This window comes from Homo sapiens, chromosome 2, assembly GCF_000001405.40.
Source record: "Homo sapiens chromosome 2, GRCh38.p14 Primary Assembly".
NCBI lineage: Eukaryota > Metazoa > Chordata > Mammalia > Primates > Hominidae > Homo > Homo sapiens.
In genome coordinates, this window is record NC_000002.12 from 208,164,544 (window position 1) to 208,191,917 (window position 27,374).

General features: G+C 41.6%; 1 protein-coding gene across 8 annotated transcripts; it reads right to left on the reverse strand.

Moving 5' to 3' along the window:
- On the reverse strand, nt 804-25,487 carry C2orf80 (chromosome 2 open reading frame 80). 8 transcript variants are annotated; one of them, XM_017004074.2, is made up of 9 exons: nt 25,414-25,487; nt 22,403-22,518; nt 20,408-20,489; nt 18,422-18,504; nt 16,675-16,762; nt 16,202-16,273; nt 7,445-7,532; nt 3,839-3,952; nt 804-1,272 (listed from the first exon to the last, which is right to left on the reverse strand). In XM_017004074.2, the coding sequence occupies exons 2-9, from the start codon at nt 22,441-22,443 to the stop codon at nt 1,196-1,198; spliced, it is 645 nt and encodes a 214-aa protein (XP_016859563.1). In that variant the 5' UTR covers nt 22,444-22,518; nt 25,414-25,487; the 3' UTR covers nt 804-1,195. The 8 variants fall into 8 exon arrangements, with proteins under 8 accessions (XP_016859563.1, XP_016859565.1, NP_001092804.2 ...); XM_017004076.2 differs by lacking the exon at nt 3,839-3,952 and adding an exon at nt 6,402-6,520; NM_001099334.3 differs by lacking the exon at nt 3,839-3,952 and adding an exon at nt 6,402-6,520 and having other exon boundaries at nt 25,410-25,487.
- Between the last annotated feature and the right edge of the window lie 1,887 nt (nt 25,488-27,374).

Here is a 27,374-nt window from a genome sequence, read left to right on the forward strand (position 1 = left end):
TGTTTTTCCTTTCAATAGTATCACTGTTTCATTGAACCCAAGTGACTGCCTAACAGCCTTCTCCATTGCTGCCAACTTATTGATTTAGAAGTACTCCTCAGATGTGCAAGTGTGGAGGAAGACTCCAAACCCCAGACTGTCTTTTGTCATTCCACATGTATGTAGGAAGATGAAATCAAACACCTTTGTGCTTTAGACCCACCGAGGGATTCTAAAAGAGTATTTGACCACAGCTAGCAACACATTCACAATGTCATTTGTGAAAATCCTCAGGCAGCATGTAAGGCAAACGCGCAGGTGGTAAAAGGAGAGACAGCAGTAGCTACCGAGAAAAAAATGTTTCCTCATAACTAGCAGAGCTAGGCAAAAGAAAACTGGGTGAAGTCCTATGAAGCTAAACACCTAGCAGTGCATGCAGGGACCGCAAGTTGCTGATTCCCTCCTTTGCCTCCCCCTAATTAGCTGCAGGCTTACTGGTAAATCTTAGAACCATAATCAAACCCAGTGTGGAAAACGCTGCATTGGTCTCCCAGCCCCACATGAGAATATACCACCATTTTCAGAAAAAGTCTACAATCTCCATCTGTGTTTTTGTACATGCTGATGAAAACTGTTCTGTAGACAGATGGCACACCAAAACCTTAAGAAATGTATTATGTGTACTGACATTCATGTGATCAAGTTGTTATTACATACATTGATAGGCTAAGCCATGTGCCTAATCAGCATTTTGGAAAGGTACTAAAAGACCAGAACATCTTCCCTCCTAGTAGTCATTATAGTCTACTGAGAGAAAGCCTGTATTCATTTTTTTAATGCTTTATTGAAATGATTTAAACATTCTTTTCATATGAGAACACAGTAAAGGCAATCAATGACAGATTAATTTTATTTTGGATTAACTCTTTGGAAATCTGCCTCCCACTCCATCACTGTGCAATATTCAATGCCACACATTTGTAAAATGTGCTACAAAGCCAGCTTGCTCTAACACAGAAATACTATATACTTTCTGAATTCTCCAGCAGTCTTCCAGTCACAATGAAGTAGCATAAGGTCACAGTTTTTTTTTTTAAGAAAATGTAGCCATGCAATATGCTTCTAAAAGAAGAAAGCTCAACATCAAAAATAACACTTCAGTGCAGTTGTACCAAAAACAGTTGTAAAGAAAAATGTACTGGCAAGAGCTGTGGTTTTAAGATGATGCTTCTCGTCTGCTCCCAGAGAATCTATTATGAAGTTCCATGGTACAATTCCAATTTTCTAAGTGACCTGCAGAATAAAAGATGATTTTGGTATCAAGCACATCAATTTAACATGGACACAGACATTACTTTAAGTCTATAGGAAGTTAAGGTCAAATATCAGATACTAACTTACTGACAAAGATAGATTAGATTAATGTAATTACAAAGGAATTTTCATGGAATTATTCTGATATATTTGGAAATTGAGTTATATTTCCCAACTAAATGCAATATGTGATCCCATACTGGATCTTATACAGAAGGAAAAAAATGCTTAAAAAGAACATTATTGGGTCAATTGACAAAATTGGTGTATAGAGAGTACATTAAATAAAAGTACCAATAATAGATATTCTGAAGTTGATAACTATTCTATGGTTATTTAAGAGAATTACTTTGTTCTTAAGAAATACACACAGAGGTACATAGAGTAAAGTGGTAGAGTATATATACATAACTTCTAATGGCTCAGAAAAAAATTATATATCTTTATCTATATACAGAGAGACAAAGACAGAATATAATAAAGCTAACAGAACAAAACATTAACCATTCGTGACTGTATAAAAGGAATACGTGGGTTCTTTGTATATTATTCTTGCAAATTTTCTCTAAGTTTGAAATTATTTTTACATTAAAAAGTTATACTTCTCTTAACCAATCCTACCCAAAGCAAATCAGTTTTTGGCCTTTTAGCAGTTATGTATTATGCTTGTAGGATATTATTTTGAATTTCTGATGTATTGCTTTGGATTTAAATTTAAATTGTCCTCTCTCTATGTCTCATTTCCTTTCATGATAGCATGAATTTCTCATGAGTGGTGATGAAGAGAGCGATTATATTATTGCTTGCCACTGTCCTGACACTTTTTTTTTTTGAGACGGTGTCTCACTCTGTCACCCAGGCTGGAGTGCATGCAGTGGCGGGATCTCGGCTCACTGCAAGCTCCGCCTCCTGGGTTCATGCCATTCTCCTGCCTCAGCCTCCAAGTAGCTGGGACTACAGGCGCCACCACGCCCAACTAATTTTTTCTATTTTTTAGTAGAGATGGGGTTTCACCATGTTAGCCAGGATGGTCTTGATCTCCTGACCTCGTGATCCGCCCGCCTCGGCTTCCCAAAGTGCTGGGATTACAGGCGTGAGCCACCATGCCTGGCCTGTCCTGACACTTTTCTAAGCCTTTACACATATAACTTATTTAATGCTTATAACAACCCTATGAGGTAGGTACTATTATGACTTTTTAAAGAGATGAAAAACTAAAAGCACAGAGAGATTAGGTAACTCACTCAAGTTATTAAGTGGGTAGCCTGGATTCAAGAAGTATGCTGTATTCTAGCTCTTTAGTATGGTCGTGTTCATTCCAAATTTACTTCCTAGTAATGTGCCCACTACTGACGCTTTCCTAGGACAATGCAATTTAAAAAAAAAATCTTTAAAACTGTTTCCTAGCCGGGCGCGGTGGCTCATGCCTGTAATTCCAGCACTTTGGGAGGCTGAGGTGGGTGGATCACGAGGTCAGGAGTTCAAGACCAGGCTGACCAACATGGTGAAACCTCATCTTTACTAAAAATACAAAAATTAGCCAGGTGTGGTGGTGCACACCTGTAATCCCAGCTACTCAGGAGACTGAGACAGGAGAATCGCTTAAACCCGGGAAGCAGAGGTTGCAGTGAGCCGAGATAACACCACTGCACTCCAGCCTGGGCAACAAAGCAAGACTCTGTCTCAAAAAAAACAAAAAACAAACAAACAAAAAACTGTTTCCCAGAACACTGAGGGTTTTGTTTGTTTGTTTGTTCTGAGACAGAGTCTCGCTCTGTTGCCCAGGCTGGAGTGCGCTGGTGCAATCTCGGCTTAGTACAACCTCTGCCTCCTGGGTTCAAGCAATTCTCATGCCTCAGTCTCCCTAGTAGCTGGGATTATAGGCGTGCACCACCACACCCAGCTAATTTTTGTATTTTTAGTAGAGATGGGGTTTGCCATGTTGTTCAGGCTGGTCTTGAATGCCTGACCTCAAGTAATCTGCTCTCCTTGGCCTCCCAAAGTGCTGGAATTATAGGCATGAGCCATCGTGCCTGGCTGTGATTTTTTTTTTTTTAATAATTTCCTCTTTTCTCTTACTCTATGAAGAAATTCGGTGGCTGGAAATAAATAAAAAATTCTGAATAAGGCATTGTTTTATCTTGAGGTTAAAAAAATTGTTCTTCAGCTAAAAGACATATAATATCTGCAAGCCAAAAAGGAAAAACAGTAAGCTCAAATATTTAAAATGAAAATCTTCTTCAAATACCAAGCTGTGAAAGCATGTTTTTCATCCATTTAATAAAATACTTATTCCTTTAATATAGAAAGAATTCTAACAAACCAGTGAGACATACATATATGTATGTTTATATGTATATGTGTAGCAAATAATTAAATACCATAAGAAATATTAACAGTGGTTATTTCTGAAAAGTGGGACAGGGGTGTGAAGAAGAGGGAGTTCTTTTGCTTTTCATTTTATATTTTTTGTCTGGCTTGAAAATTTTACTTATAAGTGTGTACACTATTAAAATTTTTAAAACTAGTTTAAAAGATACATTACCCAAGAGTTGGGCCGGGCGCGGTGGCTCAAGCCTGTAATCCCAGCGCTTTGGGAGGCCAAGGCGGGCAGATCGCGAGGTCAGGAGATCGAGACCACGGTGAAACCCCGTCTCTACTAAAAATACAAAAAATTAGCCGGGCGTGGTGGCGGGCGCCTGTAGTCCCAGCTACTCGGGAGGCTGAGGCAGGAGAATGGCGTGAACCCGGGAGGCGGAGCTTGCAGTGAGCCAAGATTGCGCCACTGCACTCCAGCCTGGGCGACAGAGCAAGACTCCGTCTCAAAAAAAAAAAAAAAAAAGAGTTGGAAAAAATGCCTAAAGTGCACAAATAATAAAGTGTGAAAGAAAAAACACAAACGAGTTTTCTGTCGCTTGATTATTAAGAAAGGGCTTTTCTGGAAGGGATTCATCTCAGGACCTGGGGCCCTACTAAAACATGGGCATTTGTTCTTTCGACACTCCTGGGCTCGCAAGCATCAATCAGCCTATAGAAAGGTCTGGTCCCCAGAACTGAGCCTTTGATCACTATAGACAGGGCACAGAGATTTGAGAACCGTCACCTAAGGACTATTCGCTTACTACCTACTGCCAATTCACTAAATAAAAATTGTTACTGAATCTCTGCTGCCTGCGAAGTACTTTATATACATGTGAGAAATACTAAGGAAATAAAAGATATGCTTCCATCAAGAATCAAAAAATCTTCATTGGTTGTGGAAGAAAATATATATGGAACAAAATTATATTTAAAAATAAGATACCAATGAGTAATCTTTAGAGGTAGGTTTTCCTTACATAGGGTCCATTGATGAGGCTTGCGGGGGGTGTCTATAAACCCCTGTTTCAGAGATCTTTTTGTGTGTGTGTGTGATTAAGTTTAAAGTCTAGATTGTGTGTGTGTGTGTGTGTGTGTGTGATTTTTGGAGTTGTTACTGTTTTTTCATTGTTGTTTTGTTTTGCTCTCTAAAACTTGCTGCTTCCAAACACGTATAAAAAATGACCTCATTTTTCAAATTCTTCAAAAAATTCTTCAGAAACAAAGATATGGTTCTAGAAAGTCTAATACCTTCGGCCGGGCACAGTGGCTCACGCCTGTAATCCCAGCACTTTGGGGGGCTGAGGCAGGAGTTTGAGACCAGCCTGGACAACATGGTGAAACCCCACCTCTACTGAAAATACAAAAATTAGCCGGGTGTGGTGGTGCATACCTGTAATCCCAGCTACTCGGGAGGCTGAGGCAGGAGAATCGCTTGAACTCGGGAAGTGGAGGTTGCAGTAAGCTGAGATTGTGCCATTGCACTCGAGTGTGGGTGACAGAGTGAGACTCTGTCTCAAAAAAAAAAAAAAAAGGAAAAGAAAAAAAGAAAAGAAAATCTAATACCTTCAAATCTTATTATAGCAAATATGTTTGAAGGAAAATTGAATATGGTGATAATTTCCCCAAATAGTGCAGTTGTTCTGTTATCAGAATAACATTTATTAAAACCCTGATATGACCAAAGAATTCAATCAGTTCCTAAAGCAGTTGCTATGATAAGGTTACATTTCTAATTAATCAGATATAAGGGACAGAGAAGACAGTTTGCCTCTGAAATCTGAATAAATCCTAAGCCTCATGTAGTCCAGTCTATTCAGAGATTCAATTTAAAAATGCATGGTACAACAGCCAAACTAAATAAAAATAAAATTTAAATTGTCACTTGTTTCCTGATGCAAACCCAATCATAAGTCAGTATATCAGTTCTCAAAGTTCCCTTCCCCGTTTTCTACCTTACAGCCTTCCAGCATATCTAACATCTCTCATTCAACAAAACTCTAAAATATCCCAGAATCCCAGACACCCACCCTGTACCACTTTTCTGATTCTCTCCCCGCTCAGCTTTTATTCTGTTGATCAGAGAAGTCTCTCTGACTTCTTAAATTTTCTCTTCACTTTGCACATTACAGCTGAGAGCCCAGAGCTGGAAGAACAAAGAGCCCTCCTCCCTTTCTCCTTTCTTTCCAACCCTGTCCATCTCCGACCATTCTCTGAATTCCACCACAAATAAATCAGGAATCAGATGGACAGGGGAGGAGCAGGGGAGACTTTAAGCAGGAAAAAAGAAAATTATTATTGCTGAGAGAGGGATCAAGGATAGAAACATTTGGGATACAGAAATTAATACAAACTTTCTCCTCAACATGCTTATTTGCATCAACAGAGTAACAGCCAATTAACTTGTGGATAGTATTTTTCAAATGCTGAAAAGATAATAATAGCTAGTATTTATTTGGGGTTTACTCCATGCTAAGCACTGTTCTAACCTTTTAACATGAATAATCTCAGTTAATCACCCCAACAAGCTTAAGAGGTAGATATCATTATTCTTCCATTTTGCAGATGAGGAAACTAAGGCACAGAGAGTTTAAGTATCTTGCCTGATGTCCCATAGCTGGTAAGCAGTCGGCTCTAGATTCAAACCCAGAGCACCTGACTCCAAAGGCTAGACTTTTAACCACGGTATCAGGAAAGTACTCCCAAAATAGCTGGTATCAGTTTGGTCCAATTTACAATCTCACACCTACTTTGTGCTTTGGCTGTGTGTCTGAAAACCTTTGTGATGATTTCCATTCTGTGGCATTTGCTTCCTTTGCAGAGATGCTGGTGGCATTTTTATTTGTTGTTACCTTTCTTGACTTGACACCTACAGACAGATGCAGTAACCATATCTGTATATAAAACTTTTTTAAAAATGTGTCCATCCAAAGTTTCATTTAATTTCATTTCACTAATTAATTATTTTTGAGACAGGGTCTCACTTTGTCACTCAGGCTGGAGTGCAGTGGTTCCATCACGGCTCATTGCAGCCTCCACTTCCTGGGCTCTAACAATCCTCCCAACTCAGCCTCCTGAGTAGGTGGGACTAGAGGAGGGTGCCACCATGGCCAGCTATTTTATTTATTTATTTATTTATTTTTGAGATGGAGTTTCACTCTTGTTGCCCAGGCTGGAGTGCAGTGGCGCAATCTCAGCTCACTGCAACCTCTGCCTCCCAGATTCAAGCGATTATCTCGCCTCAGCCTCCTGAGTAGCTGGGATTACAGGCGCCTACCACCACACCCAGCTAATTTTTGTATTTTTAGTAGAGATAGGGTTTCACCGTGTTGGCCAGGCTGGTCTCAAACTCCTGAACTCAGGTGATCTGCCCGCCTCGGCCTCCCAAAGTGCTGGGATTACAGGCATGAGCCACTGTGCCCGGCTTATTTTTGTAGGGATGAAGTTTCACTAAGTTTCCCAGGCTGGTCTCAAACTTCTGGGCACACAAGAGATCCTTCCAGCCCAGCCTCCCAAAGTGCTGGGATTACCAGTGTGAGCCAGCCCACTCACAGTTTTAGATCCTTTGCTTTTGGAGTGCTTTGCTCCCATCACCAAAGCATCTGAGAAACAAGACTTCCTTGATTTCAGTAATGGAGGGAAATCAAGCCCTAAGAGCCCCTGGTTCTTTTAAATTCAACCAGACATAGAAATCTAATTCCCATTACAATTTTGACCTTACCTGGTGAGCCTACTTCCTAATTTCCTAGTTTGACTTACATTCCTCTAAGCAGGTGAAAGTAACCAGGCTTACTCTGTTTGCGGGCGTATGCTGCTGCTTTGGGTGCTGTTAACATGGCAAAGGGGTGCAAGGAGAGGCAGAGAGATGAAACTCGGGGAACCTGAAAGGAAAACAGTCCTACTTTTAAAATCTGTCCATCATCTGCGGCATGAACACCTGCTAGTCACAGCATTTGGCCTATTTAATCAACTCAGAATCCTTGAGTCCAATTGTTGAGTACTGTCCAACGGACACACTGTCCACAGTCCATTGATGGGGCACGTGAAGTATATGAACGTGAACTTGCACACATGGCCTTTTGTTCCTGTACTTGGTTCCCATTTCCTAGAATGCCCTGTCATGCACAGACACTCTTCACATAGTTCCCTTTATAGCCATTTCCTCCTTTTCTGCCTAGAGGCACCTACCTCTCTTTTATCATGTAGCTCAAATATGACCCCTTCCGAGAAATGTATCCTGATGTCCTCCCACACCCACTCTCCCTTGCTGGCACAGTTCCCCCTGCCTACCCAATGCAGAATTGTTGGTTCACTCATCTGGCCCAAAGTCTTTAACAGGCACTTTACAGAGGAAGAAATATATGAATAGTTGTCCATTGGTAATCAGGGGGAATGCAAATTTAAACCACAGTGAAATACCATAATACACTTAACAGACTGACAAAACTGAAAAAGCCAGTATAGATAACCTGCATTGCTGGTAGAAATAGAATTGGTACAACCATTTTGGAAAGCAGTTTAGCTTTATGTAGAGAGTTGAAGATGCTTATACCCATGGCTTAGCAATTTCATTCCTAGGCATATACCATACAGAAACTCTTTTGCCGTGCAATGCTTCTTGCTTTTGCAAGAGATAACTTGGCCAGGCGCAGTGGGTCATGCCTGCAATCCCAGCTCTTTGGGAGGCTGAGGCGGGTGAATCATCTGAGGTCAGGAGTTCAAGACCAGCCTGGCCAACATGGCAAAACCCCGCCTCTACTAAAAATACAAAAAAATTAAGCGAGTGTGGTAGTGGATGCCTGTAATCCCAGCTACTCGGGAGGCTGAGGCAGGGGAATTGCTTGAACCCAGGAGGCAGAGGTTGCAGTGAGCCGAGATTGCGTCACTGCACTCCAGCCTGGGCAACAAGAGTTAAAACCTCATCTCAAAAAAAAAAAAAAAAAAAAAAAACTCAAGTGCCTGAAATGGAAAAATAGATGACAACATTGTGGTATATTCCTAGAGTGGAATACTGTATGTAGTGAAAAGAAACTATAGCTATGTTAGCTATGTGCAGCAGTATTAATAAGTTTCTGAAACATAATGTTGAATGAAAAAAGAAAGACATTAAATGACACATTTGCTAATATCCTATTTATAAAAACTCAAGGCTGGGTGTGGAGGCTCAAGCGTGTAATCTCAGCACTTTGGGAGGCCAAGGCGGGCAGATCACAAGGTCAGGAGATCGAAACTATCCTGGATAACACTGTGAAAACCCGTGTCTACTAAAAATACAAAAAAATTAGCCAGGCGTGGTGGTGGGCACCTGTTGTACCAGCTACTTGGGAGGCTGAGGCAGGAGAATGGTGTGAACCCGGGAGGCGGAGCTTGCCGTGAGCCGAGATCGTGCCACTGCACTCCAGCCTGGGCGAGAGAGCGAGACTCCATCTCAAAAAAACAAAAACAAAAACAAAACACCAAAACTCAAAAAATGTGCAAAATTAAACAATATATAGATTAGAAATGCATATGTGGTAAAACTATAAAGAAGTAAAAGATAGTAATCAACACATAATTCAAACTAGTGGTAACCTAGGGCGAAAGGAAGGGTATGAGACAGGAGAGGGTATGCAGAGAGCTTTAAAGCTGTTAATACTGTTCCATTTTACACACTTGGATTTGTTTGTTTGCTTGGTCTTTGTCTTTTAAATATATATTGGTAAGTGTTCATTTGGACACAATTAATATTGAAAGTGTGTTTTTAATCCCTCATTTACTATTATTATTATTAATTTTTGAGACAGGGCCTCACCCTGTCACCCAGGCTGGAGTGCAGTGGCGAGATCTTGGCTCCCAGCAGCCTCCACCTCCCAGGCTCAAATGATCCTCCCATCTCGACCTCCCAAGAAGCAGGGACTGTAGACACACAACACCATGCCTGGCGAATTTTTGTATTTTTTGGTATAGACAGGTTTTTGCCACGTTGCCTAGGTTGGTCTCGAACTCCTGGGCTCAAGTGATTCTCCTGCCTCAGCCTCTTAAAGGGCTGGGACTACAGATACTGCGCCTGGCCAATTCCTCATGATTAAGATCTGTCAATATTGAACTTTTGTTTAAAACATAGGTCCCTCCCCTTATCATGAAAACATTTTAAAATTTCTGCACAATTCGGTCTGAGTCAGCATCCTCCAAAAAGAGAAGATGCTTGGCAAATTACTGGAGTAAGTGTGAGAGGGTGGAAGCCAGGCCTATCACGAAGGGACCAGGTTGCTATCAGGAGGAAGGAGGGTGGTCATCCCGAGTGGGGGCGAACTTGGAAATAACAGCACTAATATGGAAGGTCCCCTGGTGCCACCATCGTGTGCTCGATACGTGCAGTCTCACTGAGTCCTCAGAGTGATCAGGTGTGTTTGGGTAAGTGTAATCATGCCTGTTTAGACATGCCTATTTACATATGGGGAAATTGGGAATCAGAGAGAAATAACTTATCCGAAGACACACAGCTAGCAAGTGACAAAGCTGGGACTGGACATCAGTCTGTTTGCCTGTGACATGCCCTGGACTTGGATGTCAGTTAGGATGGACTCGAATGATAGCCAGTCAGACGCCGGGGTCCGGCTGCATGAAGAAAGAAGGAAAGCAGAGGTTCTAGTGCTGTCTGACCACCTGCCTTTGTCTCTTTCCTCTTTCTGATGTGCTCATTTCCACTCTCTCTGTCTCCCTCTTTCTCCATCAAATGGAGCTGAAGAATATTTTTATTTTTGTTCGATTTGTTGAAGGAAGATTTATGTTCTCTTTTCTTCAGGTTAAAATCGAATAAGACATGGTCGGGCGCGGTGGCTCAGCCTGTAATCCCAGCTCTTTTGGAGGCCGAGGGGGGTGGGTGGATCAGTTGAGGTCAGGAGTTCAAAACCAGCCCTGCCAACGTGGCAAAACCTCGTCTCTATTAAAAATTCAAAAAAAGTAGCCGTGCGCAGTGGCGCGCACCTGTAATTCCAGCTACTCGGGAGGCTGAGGCGAGAGAATCACTTGAACCCCGGGGGGGGGGGGGGCGGAGGTTGCAGTGAGCCAAGATCACACCACTGCACTCAAGCCTGCGTGACAGAGTGAGACTCTGTCTTAAAAAAAAAATGAGTAAGACATTTTATATTTATCCGGGGCTAGTTGTCAATAACTCTCACTTGCGTAAGGTCTTTAGTTGAATTTTTTCTATGAGTCCAGAATCCTCAGCAGAAAAAAGCTCCCAATCAGCAAAAAGCAGTTCCCTCTCAGGAGGGAGAACCCGAGGCTAACAGAGTAGGTGAGCAATCCCGCGCCTATGACTCCTTTCTACCATCAGGTGGCAGCACATAATCCCGGAGAAAGCCATCCAGCCTAGCACAGTACCCATATTGTGTCATGCGGCCAATTCCAGTTGCAGGAAATTCTTCATAATCTGATTAGTATTCAACAGAGTTTTAAGCTTTTGCTTGGGAAGGATTTTAGCTGTTGCTTAGGAGACATTTTATCGGAAGGAATCATTCAGATATATGTAGCAATTAAAGAAGAATCTCTTGCAATATCGTTTTTTTTTTTAAAAAACTCTAGTTAAAACCATTTTTTGAAATTATGTTAAATTCCAAAAGACTCTTTTAAAATAGGTTTACCGTTCAGTCTTTGAAATGCTACATTGCTATCGAGAGGTCCTGCTAATGCCTAATTCAAAATGTGGCAAAAGTCCCTGTGTGCAGCTGATGTGTAGCTCCAAGAGTAAGGCCTGAACTGGCGTTCTGGAGGCGGGGAGCTTGTGAGGCTCACGGGGCAGATCCTCAGGCTCTTAGACTCTTGTATTGGTAATTCAAATTACGCCCTCTGTGATCACTGGTTGTCCAAAAGAGGCAAAGTTTACATTGTGTTAATAATACACGTGGATGCTTGATTAGCTATTTAATTTTTGAATATTTAGAGCAGTGGTTCTCAATCTCATGTGATTTTGCCTCCCTGGGGACATTTGGCAAAGTCTAGAGACATTTTTTTTTTTGAGACGGAGTCTCCCTCTGTTGCCCAAGCTGGAGTTCAGTGGCACTATCTCCACTCACTGCCACCTCTGCCTCCTGGGTTCCAGCAATTCCCCTGCCTCAGCCTCCTGAGTAGCTGGGATTACAGGAGCCCACCACCACACCCGGCTAATTTTTGTATTTTTAGTAGAGATGGGGTTTCACCATGTTGGCCAGGCTGGCCTCGAACTCCTGACCTCAAGTGATCCGCCCGCCTCGGCCTCCCAAAGTGCTGGGATTACTGGCGTGAGCCACGGCACCTGGCCGACATTTTTGTCACAACTGGCGAGAAGCTCCTTGCATCTAATGGGCAGAGGCCAAGGATGCTGTGAAACATCCCACAATGCACAGGACAGCCCCAGAACTCCATTCCCTGAGTAGCAGAACTTTAATTAAAGCTATTATTTGGAGGTTACCATGGGCCAAACACTAAGGGCTTCACTGATTCTAACTTACTTCATTCCCACGACAACCCCATCTTTGCGTCCCTGTTTTTACAAATGAAATTGAGAATTACAGAGGTTAGAACATTTGCCCAGAATTATTCTGCTTGTAAGTGTGGAGCTGGGATTCAAACCCAGGAGGCCAGGCTTTGGAATCCTAGTGCTTAACATTACACAACCTGCCTCTCAGATAATATATCTATATATATACTATATATACATATGTATACATAGGTGTATATATATACATATCTGTGTATACATATCTGTATACATATGTATACATATCTGTATACATATCTGTATACATATGTATACATATATACAGAAATGTATATGTATACATATATACATATATACAGATACATATATACAGATATAGTACACATATATACTATATACATATGTATACATATACGTATATAGATAATGTATACATATATAGTAGTATAGTAATCAATGGCTCGATTTTATATATATACATACATATATATTATATATAGTGTGTGCATATATATGTGTATATGTAATATACATTATATTATATATTATAATATATATAATCGAGCCATCATTCACATCACATAGCAATAAACAAAATACAAGCGGCCAGACGTGGTGGCTCACGCCTGTAATCCCAGCACTTTGGGAGGCTGAGGTGGGTGGATCACCTGAGATCAGGAGTTCGAGAACAGCCTGACCAACATGGCGAAACCCCATCTCTACTAAAAATACAAAATTAGCCAGGCGTGGTAACGCATGCCTGTAATTCCAGCTACTCAGGAGGCTGAGGCAGGAGAATCACTTGAACCCGGGAGGCGTAGGTTGCAGTGAGCCGAGATTGCACCACTGCACTCCAGCCTGGGCAACAATAGGGAAATTCCATCTCAAGAAAAAAACAAACAAACAAACAAAAACTAAAACACAAAACAAATACAAGCCTTTAAAAAAAAGTCAGCCTCTGTGATAATATTATCTCTTTCTGTTTAGAGCTGGTTATTGTCACTGATTGTGAGAATGGGGACTATGTGTCACTGAACAGAGAAGGTGCTGAACAAAGGCTCTTTAATGAATAAATGAGTGATCAGATGGATAGGTAGAGATTGGTTGGTCCACTTCTACATGGCCTGTCTTCCCCTTCTAGCACCTTTATTTATTTATTTATTTATTTATTTATTTTTTATTTTTTTTGAGACAGAGTTTTGCTCTGTTGCTCAGGCTGGAGTGCAGTGGCACAATCTGGGCTCACTGCAACCTCTGCCTCCCAGGATATCCTGCCTCAGCCTCCCAAGTAGCTGAGATTACAGGCATGCACCACCACGCCCCGCTAATTTTTTGTGTTTTTAGTAGAGATAGGATTTCACCGTGTTGGCCAGGCTGGTCTCAAACTCCTGACCTCAGGTGATCCACCCACCTCTGCCTCCTAAGGTGCTGGTATTACAGGCATGAGCTACCGCGCCCAGCCTTCTAGCAACTTTAAATGAACCTGATTTATCTGAGCTACTCAGACACCCATGTTTGCAAACCTTCTTGACTGATAACCCAGCCAAACCTGGAGGGGTCCACAGTGCCATCCTCTCTAGGATGTGTTTTTCCATATTAGTCTTTTAGCCATGTGAGTTGGGACCAACTAGTCAGATGTGCTGATGCCTTTCTAGACCTCTCCCAGGTACCAGAAGGTGACAGGGAGAAAACAGTGACTGAAACAGAAGGGTTTGGGGCTCAGGCTTGTGTGTATATGTGCTGAGGGGTAGGGGAAAAGGAGAAAGGGCAGCCTAGAAGGGAGAAAGCTGCAGAAAAAGACAAGCAGGAATAAAGCAGTATGATTTGCTTGGCTATCCAAGGAACACAGAGAGCTGAGCTTTCTTTGAAAACCAAGAACAGCTTGATCTCTGAGGAGCGTCAGGCCTGGGGTGGCTTATATCTCAAACAAGGTAAGCTCCAATATAGGATATAAGATCTATAAGAAAAGTAATCTTGGCTGGGTGTGGTGATGCATGCCTGTAATCCCAGCATTAGGGGAGGCCAAGGTGGGAGGATCGCTTGAGCCCAGGAGTTCAAGACCAGCCTGTGGAACATAGGGAGACCCCCATCCCTAAAATTTTTTTTTAATTGTTTTTTGAGATGGAGTTTCTGCTCTTGTTGTCCAGGCTGGAGTGCAGTGGCATGATCTCAGCTCACTGCAACGTCCGTCTTCCGGGTTCAAGAGATTATCCTGCCTCAGCCTCCCTGGTAGTTGGGATTACAGGCGACCGCCACCACACCTGGCAAATTTTTTGTATTTTTAGTAGAGTTGGGGTTTCACCATGTTGGCCAGGCTAGTCTCAAACTCCCGACCTCAGGTGATCCACCCACCTTGGCCTCCCAAAGTTCTGGGATTACAGGCATGAACCACTGCAAACGGCCTGCAAAAAAGTTTTTAAAAAGTTATCTTGTCTGACTTGCTCACCACTGTATCCCCTGCACCTACAATTATACTGAATGAACAGATGAGTGAATGAATGAGTGAGTGAATGAATGAAGTGAGTTGAAACTAGAGGGATCAGAGAGAAAGTTCTGATTTTCACAATGATCAAGGGCATTTGAGTCTCAGGACTACAGTCAGGTTACATATGGATTAAAGTGATAGGAAAGTTGGTTTCAATGTAAACACTTGACTTCTAAGGTGGACCTGGTGGGCTCTTGAACTCTACATGACCCCACTGCTTGCACAATGACCTGCAGTAAAAGAATAAGGGAGGCAGGCATTCCTGTGGCCACAGCCTTGCCCCTGCCCTGCCCTCCCTTCTGAATCCAGGTGGGGGCAGGGAAAGCCACAGTGTGAGCAGAAGACCTGGGCGTGAGGACGTTGGTGCCCCCCTTCCCCCCTCCCACTGCATGGCCCTCGCCACCTCACCTTCCCTTTCCTCTTGCCTCTTCTGGAGGTATCCAAAGGTGAAGGGATCAGTAGTTCACCTCTAAATAGCAGTTCATATTTAAATGTTTACTTAATGTTCATACATTTACAAGTGGCAAAAATGGAAGTGGTCTTAAAAATTATTCAGAACACCCTTTTTTTTTTTTTAAGATCAGTCATATGGAGGCCCGAAAGGGGAAAGGGACGCATCTAGGGTTTCATAGTAGTGGAGTCAGAACTCAAACCCAGGTCTCTGAACTCCCAGGTCATTGCTGCTTCTACTGTTAATGATTTCAAAGTAGTTTCATGGGAGGAGCTGAGAGTGGAGCTCACACCTATAGTCCAGCTACTTAGGAGGCTGAGGCCAGGATTTCGAGGATTACTGGATTACCAGGAATTTGAGACCAGCAGTGAGACCCGTCTTTAAAAAATGTAGTAGTGTTGTGGGAAAGGAAGATGTATCAGCAGTAAACTAGGGAATTTGTCATGAGAATGAGCCTTGTGGATCTTGTCCTAGTTCTAGAAGATATAGTACATCATAGAAGGGAACTGTGTGGACCTACCAGATCTACATTACAAAAAGTGTACGTGAAAAATTACATTTATTAGAAACAGAGCAGAGGTTGGCATGGTGGCTCATACCTGTACTCCAGTATTTTAGGAGGCCAAGGCAAGCAGATCACTTGAGGCCAAGAGTTTGAGACCAGCCTGGTCAACATGGCAAAACCCCATCTCTACCAAAAAATACAAAAATTAGCCGGGTGTGGTGGTGCATGCCTGTAGTCCCAGCTACTCAGGAGGCTGACGCACGAGAATTCCTTGAACCCAGGAGGCAGAAGTGCAGTGAGCCGAGATCGCACCACTATACTCCAGCCAGGGTGACAGAGTGAGACTCTGTCTCAAAAAAAAAAAACAAAACCACAACAGAGTAAAGTTTTGCCCCCAAGCCTGGTACTCATTGCTGCCCCTTCTCAGCCGTACACAAGATACATTTGTTATTACTGCATGGTCTTTTACATATGAAAGGCATTTCACACACGTTATTCAAGTAAGAAATGGTTATGTCTGGTTTTGTACATTTTGATGTAAAACTGTTATTTCATAATTGATGTCTGAAAATACAACATTATACATTTATACACTAAATAAATTATCTCTAAAAATCCCTTCTATTGACAATCCCAGGTCACCCTTACCTTGATGGTACCAGAATCGGCAGAAGAATCAGCCCCATAAATTTTAAAGACTTCCTCAATCGGGATACTGTTCTGTTAAACAACAACAGCAATAACAAAGTATGATCATACCATGGCTTTTCTTTTATTATAAAACAAAGCTAATATAGCTCCAGTATGTCTAAAACTGTGCTTGGGTATCATAAGTATTAAATACAGTAAATAACTTCTGATCAATGGATAAATCAGTTTTCCAGATACCAATTAGTTGTGTCTCTCATTCTTTTCTTTTTTCTTTGCCTCTTAAATAAATGTTTTCACATACAGTGTAGAAGTTAGTCTTTTTATTACTTTAAAAAACGAAACATTTACTATCAATAACTCCTAAACATTTAGAAACATTGGTTGAAAAATAATGTAAATATTCATTACTGTAAAAATGCTCAGAGTAGATATGAAATATTCATATAGGCAGATAGTATTCTTTTCCTTACCATTAAGATTCCAGCATAAGATGATAAAATCATAGCTTCTCGTTCTCTACGATTTGGATATATGGGTCTGCCATGGAGTGGTATTTTCCTAATGGGGAATAGGAAATACAAGTGGAAGATTTATTCTTGTTCTTTTTGATGCCTGCTAAGGTTGTGATGATAATCGATAAGTAATCTGCAATGGCTGTGTGCTATCTGCTTATTTATATTAATAAAATTGGTATGATTGTTCCTCCATCGGTGAAATCCACACTTTGAATTTTTAATCTTCCAATAATGGTGATGAATTTGGCCTCATCTATCCATGTTTTCACAGCAATCAAAGATTGGCAGACTGGCCACTGTGGTGGATGTTGATGGTTTTGCAAACCATTATCCTTTCCCTTTCTTGTGACAATTTGCTTTGGGGGAACTACCTAACCCCACTGTAAGCCTATATGCTTCTAGGGAAGCTGACTACACCCCTAGATTCCAAAGATGAAAAACACACTGTGGACTGAGCTGTCAGCGTATTCCACCTCCCCTGCGCTGCCACTGTCCAACCCTAGACAAGCCAGGTAACAGCCACTGAGACACAATTGGGTGATTAAAAAAAAATATATCCACCCTTCCCCGATAATGAAATGGGCTGAAACTAGGAATGGTGTTCACCCTGAGGAAATGGAGTCAGGAGGTAGATCCAGATGACATTGTTTGAGTTTTGAATTAAACCATGCCTAACACAGTCCTACCCATGGACTTTTCAGATACAAGGGCAATAAAATCTACTCCCCAGCTTTTTTGCTTAAGGCTGTTCAAATTGGATTTTCAATTGGATTTTCAAATTGGTCATTACAGCTAAACCCTAACTGTTACAACTCTCTAGGATCAGGTGTGTAGTCCAGAGCCATTGAGTAGAAAAAAAATAACAGGCCTCCAGAATAAGCTATTTGATCCTGTCCTCATTAGTTCTGTGTTCTTACCAATTGAGTGAGTCTGCCTGAACACTCCCTATACATGACAGAAAATGCTGGTAATCCCAGAAAGAAAATTATTCTGCGCTTCAAACAGCTCAGCTCAGATACATGTCTGCCTAAATGCTTAAGAATTTGTTTGGTAGTCCTTAGGAAAAGGTTACAGTCTTTACCCATAGAACTGACTGTTTTAAATCATGGCATGTACATAGTAAAGCAGTCATGTTTCTAAGACAGAGCATTCTTTATTTTTGAGATGGAGTCTCACTCTGTTGCCCAGGCTGGAGTGAAGTGGCACAATCTTGGCTCACTGCAACCTCTGCCTCCTGGGTTCAAGTGATTCTCCTCTCCTGCCTCAGCCTCCTGAGTACAGGTGTGCGCCACCACGCTAGGCGAATTTTTGTATTTTTAATAGAGGCGAGGTTTTACCATATTGTCCAGGTTGGTCTTGAACTCCTGGCTTCAAGTAATGAGTCTGCCTCAGCCTCCCAGAGTGCTGGGATTACAGGCCTGAGCCACCGCGCCCGGCCCCTTAAGACACAACATTCTGTGCAAGAAAGTCTTTCATCTCACTGAAGTCAATTAGTATAGAGATGCAAAACATGGAAACATGTAACTTCTTCAAGTTGGCAACTGTTCAGGTTCCTCAGGTGTCTCGTTGAAGAGGGATATTCACCCAGTAGTGTTTTCAAATCAAAGTGCCTCATGATGGAAGATGTTAGGGCTGGAACTTCCTCTATCATTAATCATAGGCACAAATTAAAGAGGAAAGCAACAAACCTACTTCAACTTACAGTTCCTCCCACTCCAGCCAAGTTAAGTCTTCTGAGGGATCCAGCCATTGCAAAGCAACACTGATGGCCAAGTCATAGTGTGCCTGGGAGCAGGAAGCACAGAGAGCAAAGAAACAGGCTTAGACATTGGCCGAAGTACTCCCTGGACCCAATGACAATGGGACTGCTAAGCCTATTCTAGTCTGTCATGTCCAAAATGGGAAGGATCATTAGCTTTAATAACCTGATGCTCGGCCAGATTTTTTTTTTTTTTTCTGAGACCTCGCCTCACAGGGATGAATCAGCCAGAAATATTTTGGGATCTTGAGACATTAAATTTATTTCCACTAGAGCAGTTATCTGATTTCTGTGATTTGGAAAAGAAAGGAGAGATCAGTGAAGAATAATAAACTTGGAATCAGAAAATCTGGGCTCAAATCTAGGTATTGCCAACAACTCACGGAATATTCTTAGGTGAGTAACTGATGCTTTCTGGGCCTCAGTTTCCCTAAATTTTAACATAGTAAAAGGTAAGGGTGGGGGAACAGGGCTGCAGGGAACAATTTCTGATTCTGTGAGTAGAATGTCAGAAATGTGCTTCCAGGGGTACAGGGGCAGTGTGGTGGGAATTTGGAGGGATGGGCCGTTTTATGTCTACCTGGGGAGATAGCTAGAATCCCAAGAAGCTTCAGAGAGGGAAGCTGCATTGGAGCTGGGGCTTGTGGGATGAGAATGTCTACAGATGGGGAAGGAAATCACAGGTAGAGGAACTAGCATGAGGCAAGGACGGAGCGGGCGGGGAAGGGGGCAGACCTGAGTAAGTGACTTGCTGAGAGTTTCACACGCACGTATAGTAAAAAGCTGAGAACCAATGCGGAGGCTTATTTTTATCATGGTGACCACCTTTTCCTAGTAATTCCTAAGAGTTCTTGTTCAGTAAGCATATTTACCATTTGTCTATCAAAATATTCCTTCTCTCCTTTCAGTCCCCACACACAGAAAACGGAAGATTGGTTTTGTTTTTAATTTTTGTAGAGGCGTTCTGAAGTTTTAACATTTTTAAACGGTGGAATTATTTCTTCCAGGGACTGAACCAAACTGAACAGTGAACCTAAATGAATAAATAAACAGGAAGAATGGGACCATGACCAAATGTTGCAACCGGATCCAAAGTTTGATGCCTTGGCATCACTTGTTTGGTCATTTGAAATGCAAATTCCTAGGCCGCGGGGGCGCCCCCCTCACCCCCGCCCCCCTTCACCTCCTGAATCAAAACAGCCTTGTAATACGACCTCATTAAAGTTTGAGAAGCACTGCTCTAATCTACTTAATTTCTCTGTTTAATATGTGTACACAGAGAATAAGGCTTAACTATTTCCTTAGCTCCAGGGTAGTTTTGAAAGCCAGTGAGCCTGGCTCTACTTTAGTCGGAGAAGAAGAGGAGAGGGGAGTGGAGGGAGAGAGTCTTTTTTATTAGTGTAAGGATAGTAAATGGGCAGTGAAAAAACTGAGGGTTTGCTAATTTCTTTTGAGTTAGATCTTTATATGGTTTCTTCCTCAATTTCTGTGACGTGAACTTTCAGATCCTGAGTCTGGGCTTCGAAATAAATAACACCAAGGATTTTTAGGGTTACTTAATTTATTTGGTTTTCTCTCACTAATGCAAATGGTAAAGAAATTATTTTGAGAACTACATGATAGCTAATTTTGTCAAACTCTTAACTCCACAGACGTAACATTTTGCCTGGCATTAATTTTGATTTTTAATCTTCTTTCCTAATAGCAAATAACTCTCATGATTTTTATTTTCTCATTCTCTTTGCTTTCTGGTTAGTGGGTTGAAATGACCATATGAACAATCTCAGGGTGAGGGGAAGATGAGGAAGAGGACATTTGGGGGATGGGTGTCAATATTAGCCTTGTTTATTGTATAAATAAGATCCTTTTTCTGTCTCTTTAATACACATATAACACAAATATGACTCGCATCAGCGTGCCTTTCTTTACCATATCATCTAGAAAGGTGAGTTGCCGTCTTCCTTTTGGGTCAAATTCATTTTCCCGAAGTCTGATGCCAATATAATCTCCCCTTAAAAGCAAGAGAGCAGCATTGAACCATTGGAGTGACACGGGCTCAGTCTGCAGAAAAAGGCTTTTTTTTTTCCCATCCCTCCCTCCCCCACCAAAATACAAGAGAATTTGCAGATGCTCTGGTAGCTGAGTTAATATTCGGTTTTGGTTTACACGACAATTCTACAATGCTGCAGTTTAAAATGTCTAACCATAATTAACTGAAATAACATTTATCTAAAAATTAAACTCAATTGGAACAGAATTTACAGGAAAGCAAGGAATATGCTAAATACCCACACACAGAAATGGTTTTACAAGACCAAAAGGATTGAGACACACTGTTTAAAATAATCATTTGCTTCCCGTGTTAAATTCAAGCAGCATGTCCAAAGTTGATACATTCCAGATATATAAAATTCTGTAGGTAAGTATTCTTTTGCCGTAAGGCTTTTTCTCTTTAGAATGCAAATACCCTTAGGAGGAGGAATGCATAAAAACTTATTAGTGATTCCACTTTAGTTTATCCTTAGTGGATCCTTTCCTAACAGTGACTTTTAATAAAAGAAGGTAAAATAAGCACCATGAGGAGAGAAGAGAGAAAGGTGCTACCCCGGGAATGTGACAGAGAAAAAATAGGTGCAGGAAAAGAAGGACTATGGCATCTCCCAGGTTGATTTTGGCACATCTCAATTTTACATAAGGTGGAGAATAAGTTTATTTCTGGCTTCTGAAAGCTTTTCTTCTGAGTCATTAAGCTTAACTAGATTGATAAAAATTCTTAAATTTCTGCCGAAATTTCAGGATACTTTAAAGTAGCCTAAATGTATTCTTTGGATATAAACTTGTATTTATATCACTTTTGAAATTCCAATTATTTGGATGAGATATGTGGAAGAGTTGGCATTCCTGATCATGGTTTGTTCTTTACTATTCTATTGGCCTCTAACATATAACACAAATATGACTCGCATCAGCATGTCTTTCTTTACCATATCATCTAGAAAGGTAAGTTCCCTTCTTCCTTTTGGGTCAAATTCATTTTCCTGAAGTCTGATGCCAATATAATCTCTGCTTAAAAGCAAGAGATGAATATGAATTCACATATATGTGCATACACATATATGTGTACACGTGTACTATATATGAATTCACATATATGTGTATACATGTATATATGTACATATATGTATATTCATAGTTTCTTCTAGTATTTCTTAAAGGCTTGTTAAAATAAAATTATCTTAGGAGGCCGAGAAAAGATATTTGATGGGGATGGTGATAAGCTCTTTGATGAAAAGGCTATTACTGTTTTGTCTATAACACATATGACATAGAACATAATCTTTCTTTTTTCTTTTTATATGGTTTGTGATCTTTCACCAACATTTGTTAAGTACAAGTCAAAGAAACACTGCCATGGGAGGAAAACATTTCTTTCACAGGAAACTTGATGTTTTCTGTGTTCGTTTTAAAAATGTTCAGATGTAAAGAAAAAGGAGATGAATTTCTTAGTTGATAAGGCTGACAATAAAAGAGGCAGAGCAGAGGCTGCAATTTAGATTCTGGGCCCTTTCAGGAATCTCTCTTATACCTTTTACCAGCAGGGCCAGCCCCTTTCAACGGTGTATCTTGCCTACACAGGCTGACTGGGACATAGGCTCAGCTCTCAGGCTCTAGAATGTGGATGCCTCGGATGTGCAGGCTGCCAGCAGAAACATCCTCCCAAGTGTTTCAGCATCCTGCCTCGCACCACAGGTGAGGCCTCCCTGGCAGGAAACCGAGAGAGGCCAGATCATCCTCTGGTTTTCTCCTACCATGCAGAAATAGATTCTTAGATTTTTACCCACTGCCAATACCCAAGCCATCTATGACATGAAATCCACCGAATGCCAAGTGTCATAAATGAAAGTTATTCTCAGTCATACTTACAAGAGCTTTTTCATTTCCTTCTTTATGAGCCTTCTTTCCATGTTAAAGGCTTAGCCAGCTGAGCAGGTATCTGCAGCTAACACTACACTTAGACCCAGCTTCTCTGAGTCTAGAGGCTACAGCAGCAAATCAGAGAGAATATGAGTTAGGGATGCTATCACTCCAAATACCAGTCATGGAGTCCTAGGCTCTGGAAGGGATCTGAGGGAGCACCTCATTCAGGCCTCTTACTCGGCAGGTTCAGGGTCAAAAAGCCACCTGGAGGCTCATGCACTGTACTTTTGTGTTTATTTGACACCTTTTATTCCTTCCAAATTTTTCCAACACTTATTTACTTAATTTACTCTTCCTTGCAATAATCTAGCAAGTAAAACCAAAATGGTTTGTGTAATAGCTGATGAGACTATTCGGGCAGAACCATCCAAACTAGATGGATGTGATCCATCTAGATCTGAATGTGTTTGGGTTTTTCTGTGAGCATTCAACTCCCAGTGAGTTCACCCTGGCTCAGTGGCTCATAATGGAGTTTTCCATAGAATCCATCTACACTCTCCTATTGCCAGGAGATCCTTGAAAGAAAATATGGTTATGGGAAATATGTCTTCAATTCCCACCCCCACATTGAACCAGAAATTGAAGATCAGGTGATGGGGTCAAAAGGAGTCTGAAGTCACCAAAAAGGAGTCTATAGAAAATCATCACTATTGAATGGGGTACACAGGGAGAGGTATAAATAGGGTATCAACTCTATTTGTGATGTTTTATTTATTTTTAAATTTATTTTATGGTTGGGCCTCTATGATCAAATAGTTGTTCAAACTTTATCCCGGATGTTTCTGGTGTTTTTTTTTTAATGAGATTATCATTTAAATCAGTGGACTTTGAAAGCAGATTGCCCTCTATCTGAGTGAGCCTTTTCCAATCAGTCGAAAGCCTTGATAGAACAAAAGACTGACCTCCCCCATGCAAGAAGGAATCTGCCAGTAGGCAGCCTTTGGATTCAAACTGCAACTCTTCCCTGAGTCTGCTGGCAGCTGGCCTCCTCTATCAGATTTTGGACTGGCCAAGACTCCACAATCATGTGAGCCAATTCTGTAAAATCAAAATATTTGAAAGAGATGGTTAAGCCTATACTGCACCGTGTGTGTGTGTGTGTGTGTGTGTGTGTGTGTGTGTGTGTGTATCCACACACATCCTGTCAGTTCAATTTCTCTGAGGAACCCTAATACTCAAATATAACAAAATGTTAATAGTTGTTGACTCTGGAATTCTAAGTCCATGGATGTTCATTATACTACCCTTTGTACTTTTAAAATTGTACGTATATTTAAATCACTACTCTAAAGATGATTGGAAAACAAACTTTAGAAACGGTTTTTTGAAAATGGTACCATATAAACACTAAGCTTCACTTGATTCAGCTCTACCAACAGTAAGCAGAGAGCCAACAGGATGGCGCTGATCTAAATGAATGCTTCCCTAGGCCACCTTCATTATTTTGGATTTTTTTTTTTTTTTTGAGACGGAGTCTCGGTCTGTCACCAGGCTGGAGTGCAGTGGCACAATTTCGGTTCACTGCAACCTCTGCCTCCTGGGTTCAAGTGATTCTCCTGCCTCAGCCTCCCAAGTAGCTGGGACTACAGGTGCACGCCACCAAGCCCAGCTAATTGTTTTGTACTTTTAGTAGAGACCGGGTGGTGTCATCATATTGGCCAGGATGGTCTCCATCTCCTGACCTTGTAATCCACCTGCCTCAGCCTCCCAAAGTGCTGGGATTACAGGCGTGAGCCACCGTGCCCAGCCATTTTGGATCATTCTTGCTGCTGCTACATCTGCTTTAGTTTTTGGGGAGTGGACGGGATGTGGATAAGATGAAAGTGGGGAAGAAAGTAAGAGCATTTCACAGGAAATTGATTAAGTATCAAGACAATAATATTGCTCCCTACAGAGTCAATGGGGAGAGGATGCAGCAAGCCATAGAGGTGGCCCTATTGCCTAGAGAAGAGAGAGCACTGGACCCAGGAAAGCCACACTCATTGATGTGGCTGTGCGTCTTCTGCTTCCCAGCCTCAGGTGTTATCCGAAAAAGATGGGCCTGGTTAACATTGCCAAGAGCACTTCTTACCCTAACATTCTGTAACTCTATAAAGTCTGGCATGCATTAAAATTCTTCTGATTCAATAGTTTGGAAAAACATTTGTTGCTAGACTATTTGGCCTATCTCAATTCCTTGGCAGGGAGTAAGGCACAGTTAGCATGTGCTTTAATCCATTCTTGTCTTGTAATTCTGAGAAAGCCCTTTGAGTTTCAGATTTACAAGTTATAATATTTGCATTGCTTCGTTGTTATGACAGCTTCGTCTTAGATCATCCCTCATCCTCCCCATCCCCTGCCCCCACCACCACCATTCAATATGGTATAATATGCAAAGGTTTCAGTCTTTAAAATATGAGTATGTCCCACTCCCAAACCACTAAACTGTAGGTCAGAAGACCCTGTGAGGCCACCAACTAGCTGTGCACCTTGAACAAATTAATTTGCCTATGTTTTTTCATTTCTTCCTCTGTAAAACAAGCGTTGAATGATTGGAGAGGTCCCTTACAGCTGTGGAAGTCAGTGATTTATATGCATTTAGTAGCTACGCCTGGTCTAAAGAAGGCCATTTGCATGGATTCTAATTCAGCTAGATTTGAATTCTGCCAGTTATCCCTCTTCTCTGTCTATAGAGCTCTAAAGAAAACAAGACCGCTGTGTGTTTTGTGTGTGGCTGAAAGCACACACAAAAGAGGTACTGGAAAGATGTCAGCTGTCTCAGGCTTTAGCTGTTTCATAGAAACAATTCCCTAGAAGTCAGAGCCCCCAAATTCTATAGGAATATCATTTCCTGGAGAATATCTGCACATTCCATGCAGGTTCCCTGCTGCACACCTGCAATCGTGGTACAGGTCTCTCGGGCTGTTCTATTAAGTGCCTGCTCTTAACAAATTCCCCTTTGAGAATCGCTCACCAACCGGAGACCGGTTCCAGTGCTTTTGTTCTTTCTCTGCTTCTGGAGGCATGCTGAAGCATCCGCGCATCTCAGACTGGTGCTCACAGACATCAGGAACACATGCTTTTTCCTGGTTGCTAGGAAACAGTGAATGAATTAAAATCATTTGTTTTAAAAATACACTCCCCTACGCCCACCCCCATTAAGGGTTGAGGGAGGGTGGAAAGTCATATATTTGGGACAGGATTGTGATCCTGGCCTGAAGTTCACGTGTCTTTTTACCTGAGTAGGCTTATGTTTCCCATCTAAATGATTAATTGAAAAACCAAGAGGATGGGAGGAGTTTACCTTCCCCAGAGTTTTTTATAGCATTTGGCTGCAGACATAGGAATCAATTGACTAAGCAAGGATTGCTGGGGAAGCTAGTGAAACTCTGGCTCCTACATAGTTAGGGTGCCCCAAAGTACCCAATGACCCAAAGATCATTCTACTCGATGAATGTCAATACAAAACAGTGGCAATCCTGAAGAAACATCACCTGGGTTCAAGCTAGCACCATCTTTCTAATTATAGATGAGATCCCTTTCATGTGCGTCTGTGTGAAGAGACCACCAAACAGGCTTTGTGTGAGCAACATGGCTGTTTATTTCAACTGGGTGCAGGCGGGCTGAGTCCGAAAAGAGAGTCAGCAAAGGGTGGTGGATTATCATTAGTTCTTATAGGTTTTGGGATAGGCGGTGGAGTTAGGAGCAATGTTTTGTGGGCAGGGGGTGGATCTCACAAACTACATGCTCAAGGGTGGGGAGAATTACAAAGAACCTTCTTAAAGGTGGGGGAGATTACAAAGTACCTGCTTAAGCGGGGGGAGATTACAAAGCACATTGATCAGTTAGGGTGGGGAAGAAACAAATCACAATGGTGGAATGTCATCACTTAAGACTATTTTTACTTCTTTTGTGGATCTTCAGTTACTTTAGGCCATCTGGATGTATATGTGCAAGTCACAGGGGATGTGATGGCTTGGCTTGGGCTCAGAGGCCTGACAATCCCTGCCCACACGCCTGCCTCCTAGTCTTAAACACTTGCTCCCTTGCTTAAAGCTTGTTAATGGTTTCTGTCTGTGTCTCCTCTATACCACTAGACTAGGGGCAGAGTTTGTTCTTCTGGCCCATCTACGGCTGGGTGTCTGTTATTGACACCTCTTAATCTTTATTTCCACTCCTTTCCACTGGCCAAGTAAGTCACTTGATTACCTGAGGTCATATTATGAAAGACACTAACAAAACCCTAGATATAGAATTTTCTAAACTAGTTGTTCACTCCATATTGAGTTTATATTGTACCTAGACACTTCCGGGTTTGGTGAGCCTGAAGTTTATACATTATGGGGACCGTCTTTAATAAAAAGAATGCAGAATTGTAAATATGAAACTAATACAAAATTGTATGTTTATTTAGAACTATTAATTACAAGTTACAAATTTTAAAGAGCTGAAAAATACCACAAACAAAAAATCAGTATTAATATTTTCATGATTACTAACTGCCTAACATACACTAAAATTCCTTTTTTTCTTACATACTCTTTGATTATCTGTTAATAGGACCAAGGTTTCATAGTATTTTCTATAGAGAGAATTAAAAAATAATTCAGTCTCTCCTCTACTATGACTGTTTACTTTTATTTATTTATTTATTTATTCATTTTTTTGAGATGGAGTTTTGCTCTTGTTGCCCAGGCTGGAGTGCAATGGTGTGATCTTGGCTCACCACAACCTCCGCCTCCCGGATTCAAGCGATTCTCCTGCCTCAGCCTCTGGAGTAGCTGGGATTACAGGCATGCGCCACCACGCCCGGCTAACTTTGTATTTTTAGTAGAGACAGGGTTTCTCCATGTTGATGAGGCTGGTCTTGAACTCCCGACCTCAGGTGATCTGCCCGCCTCGGCCTCCCAAAGTGCTGGGATTACAGGCGTGAGCCACC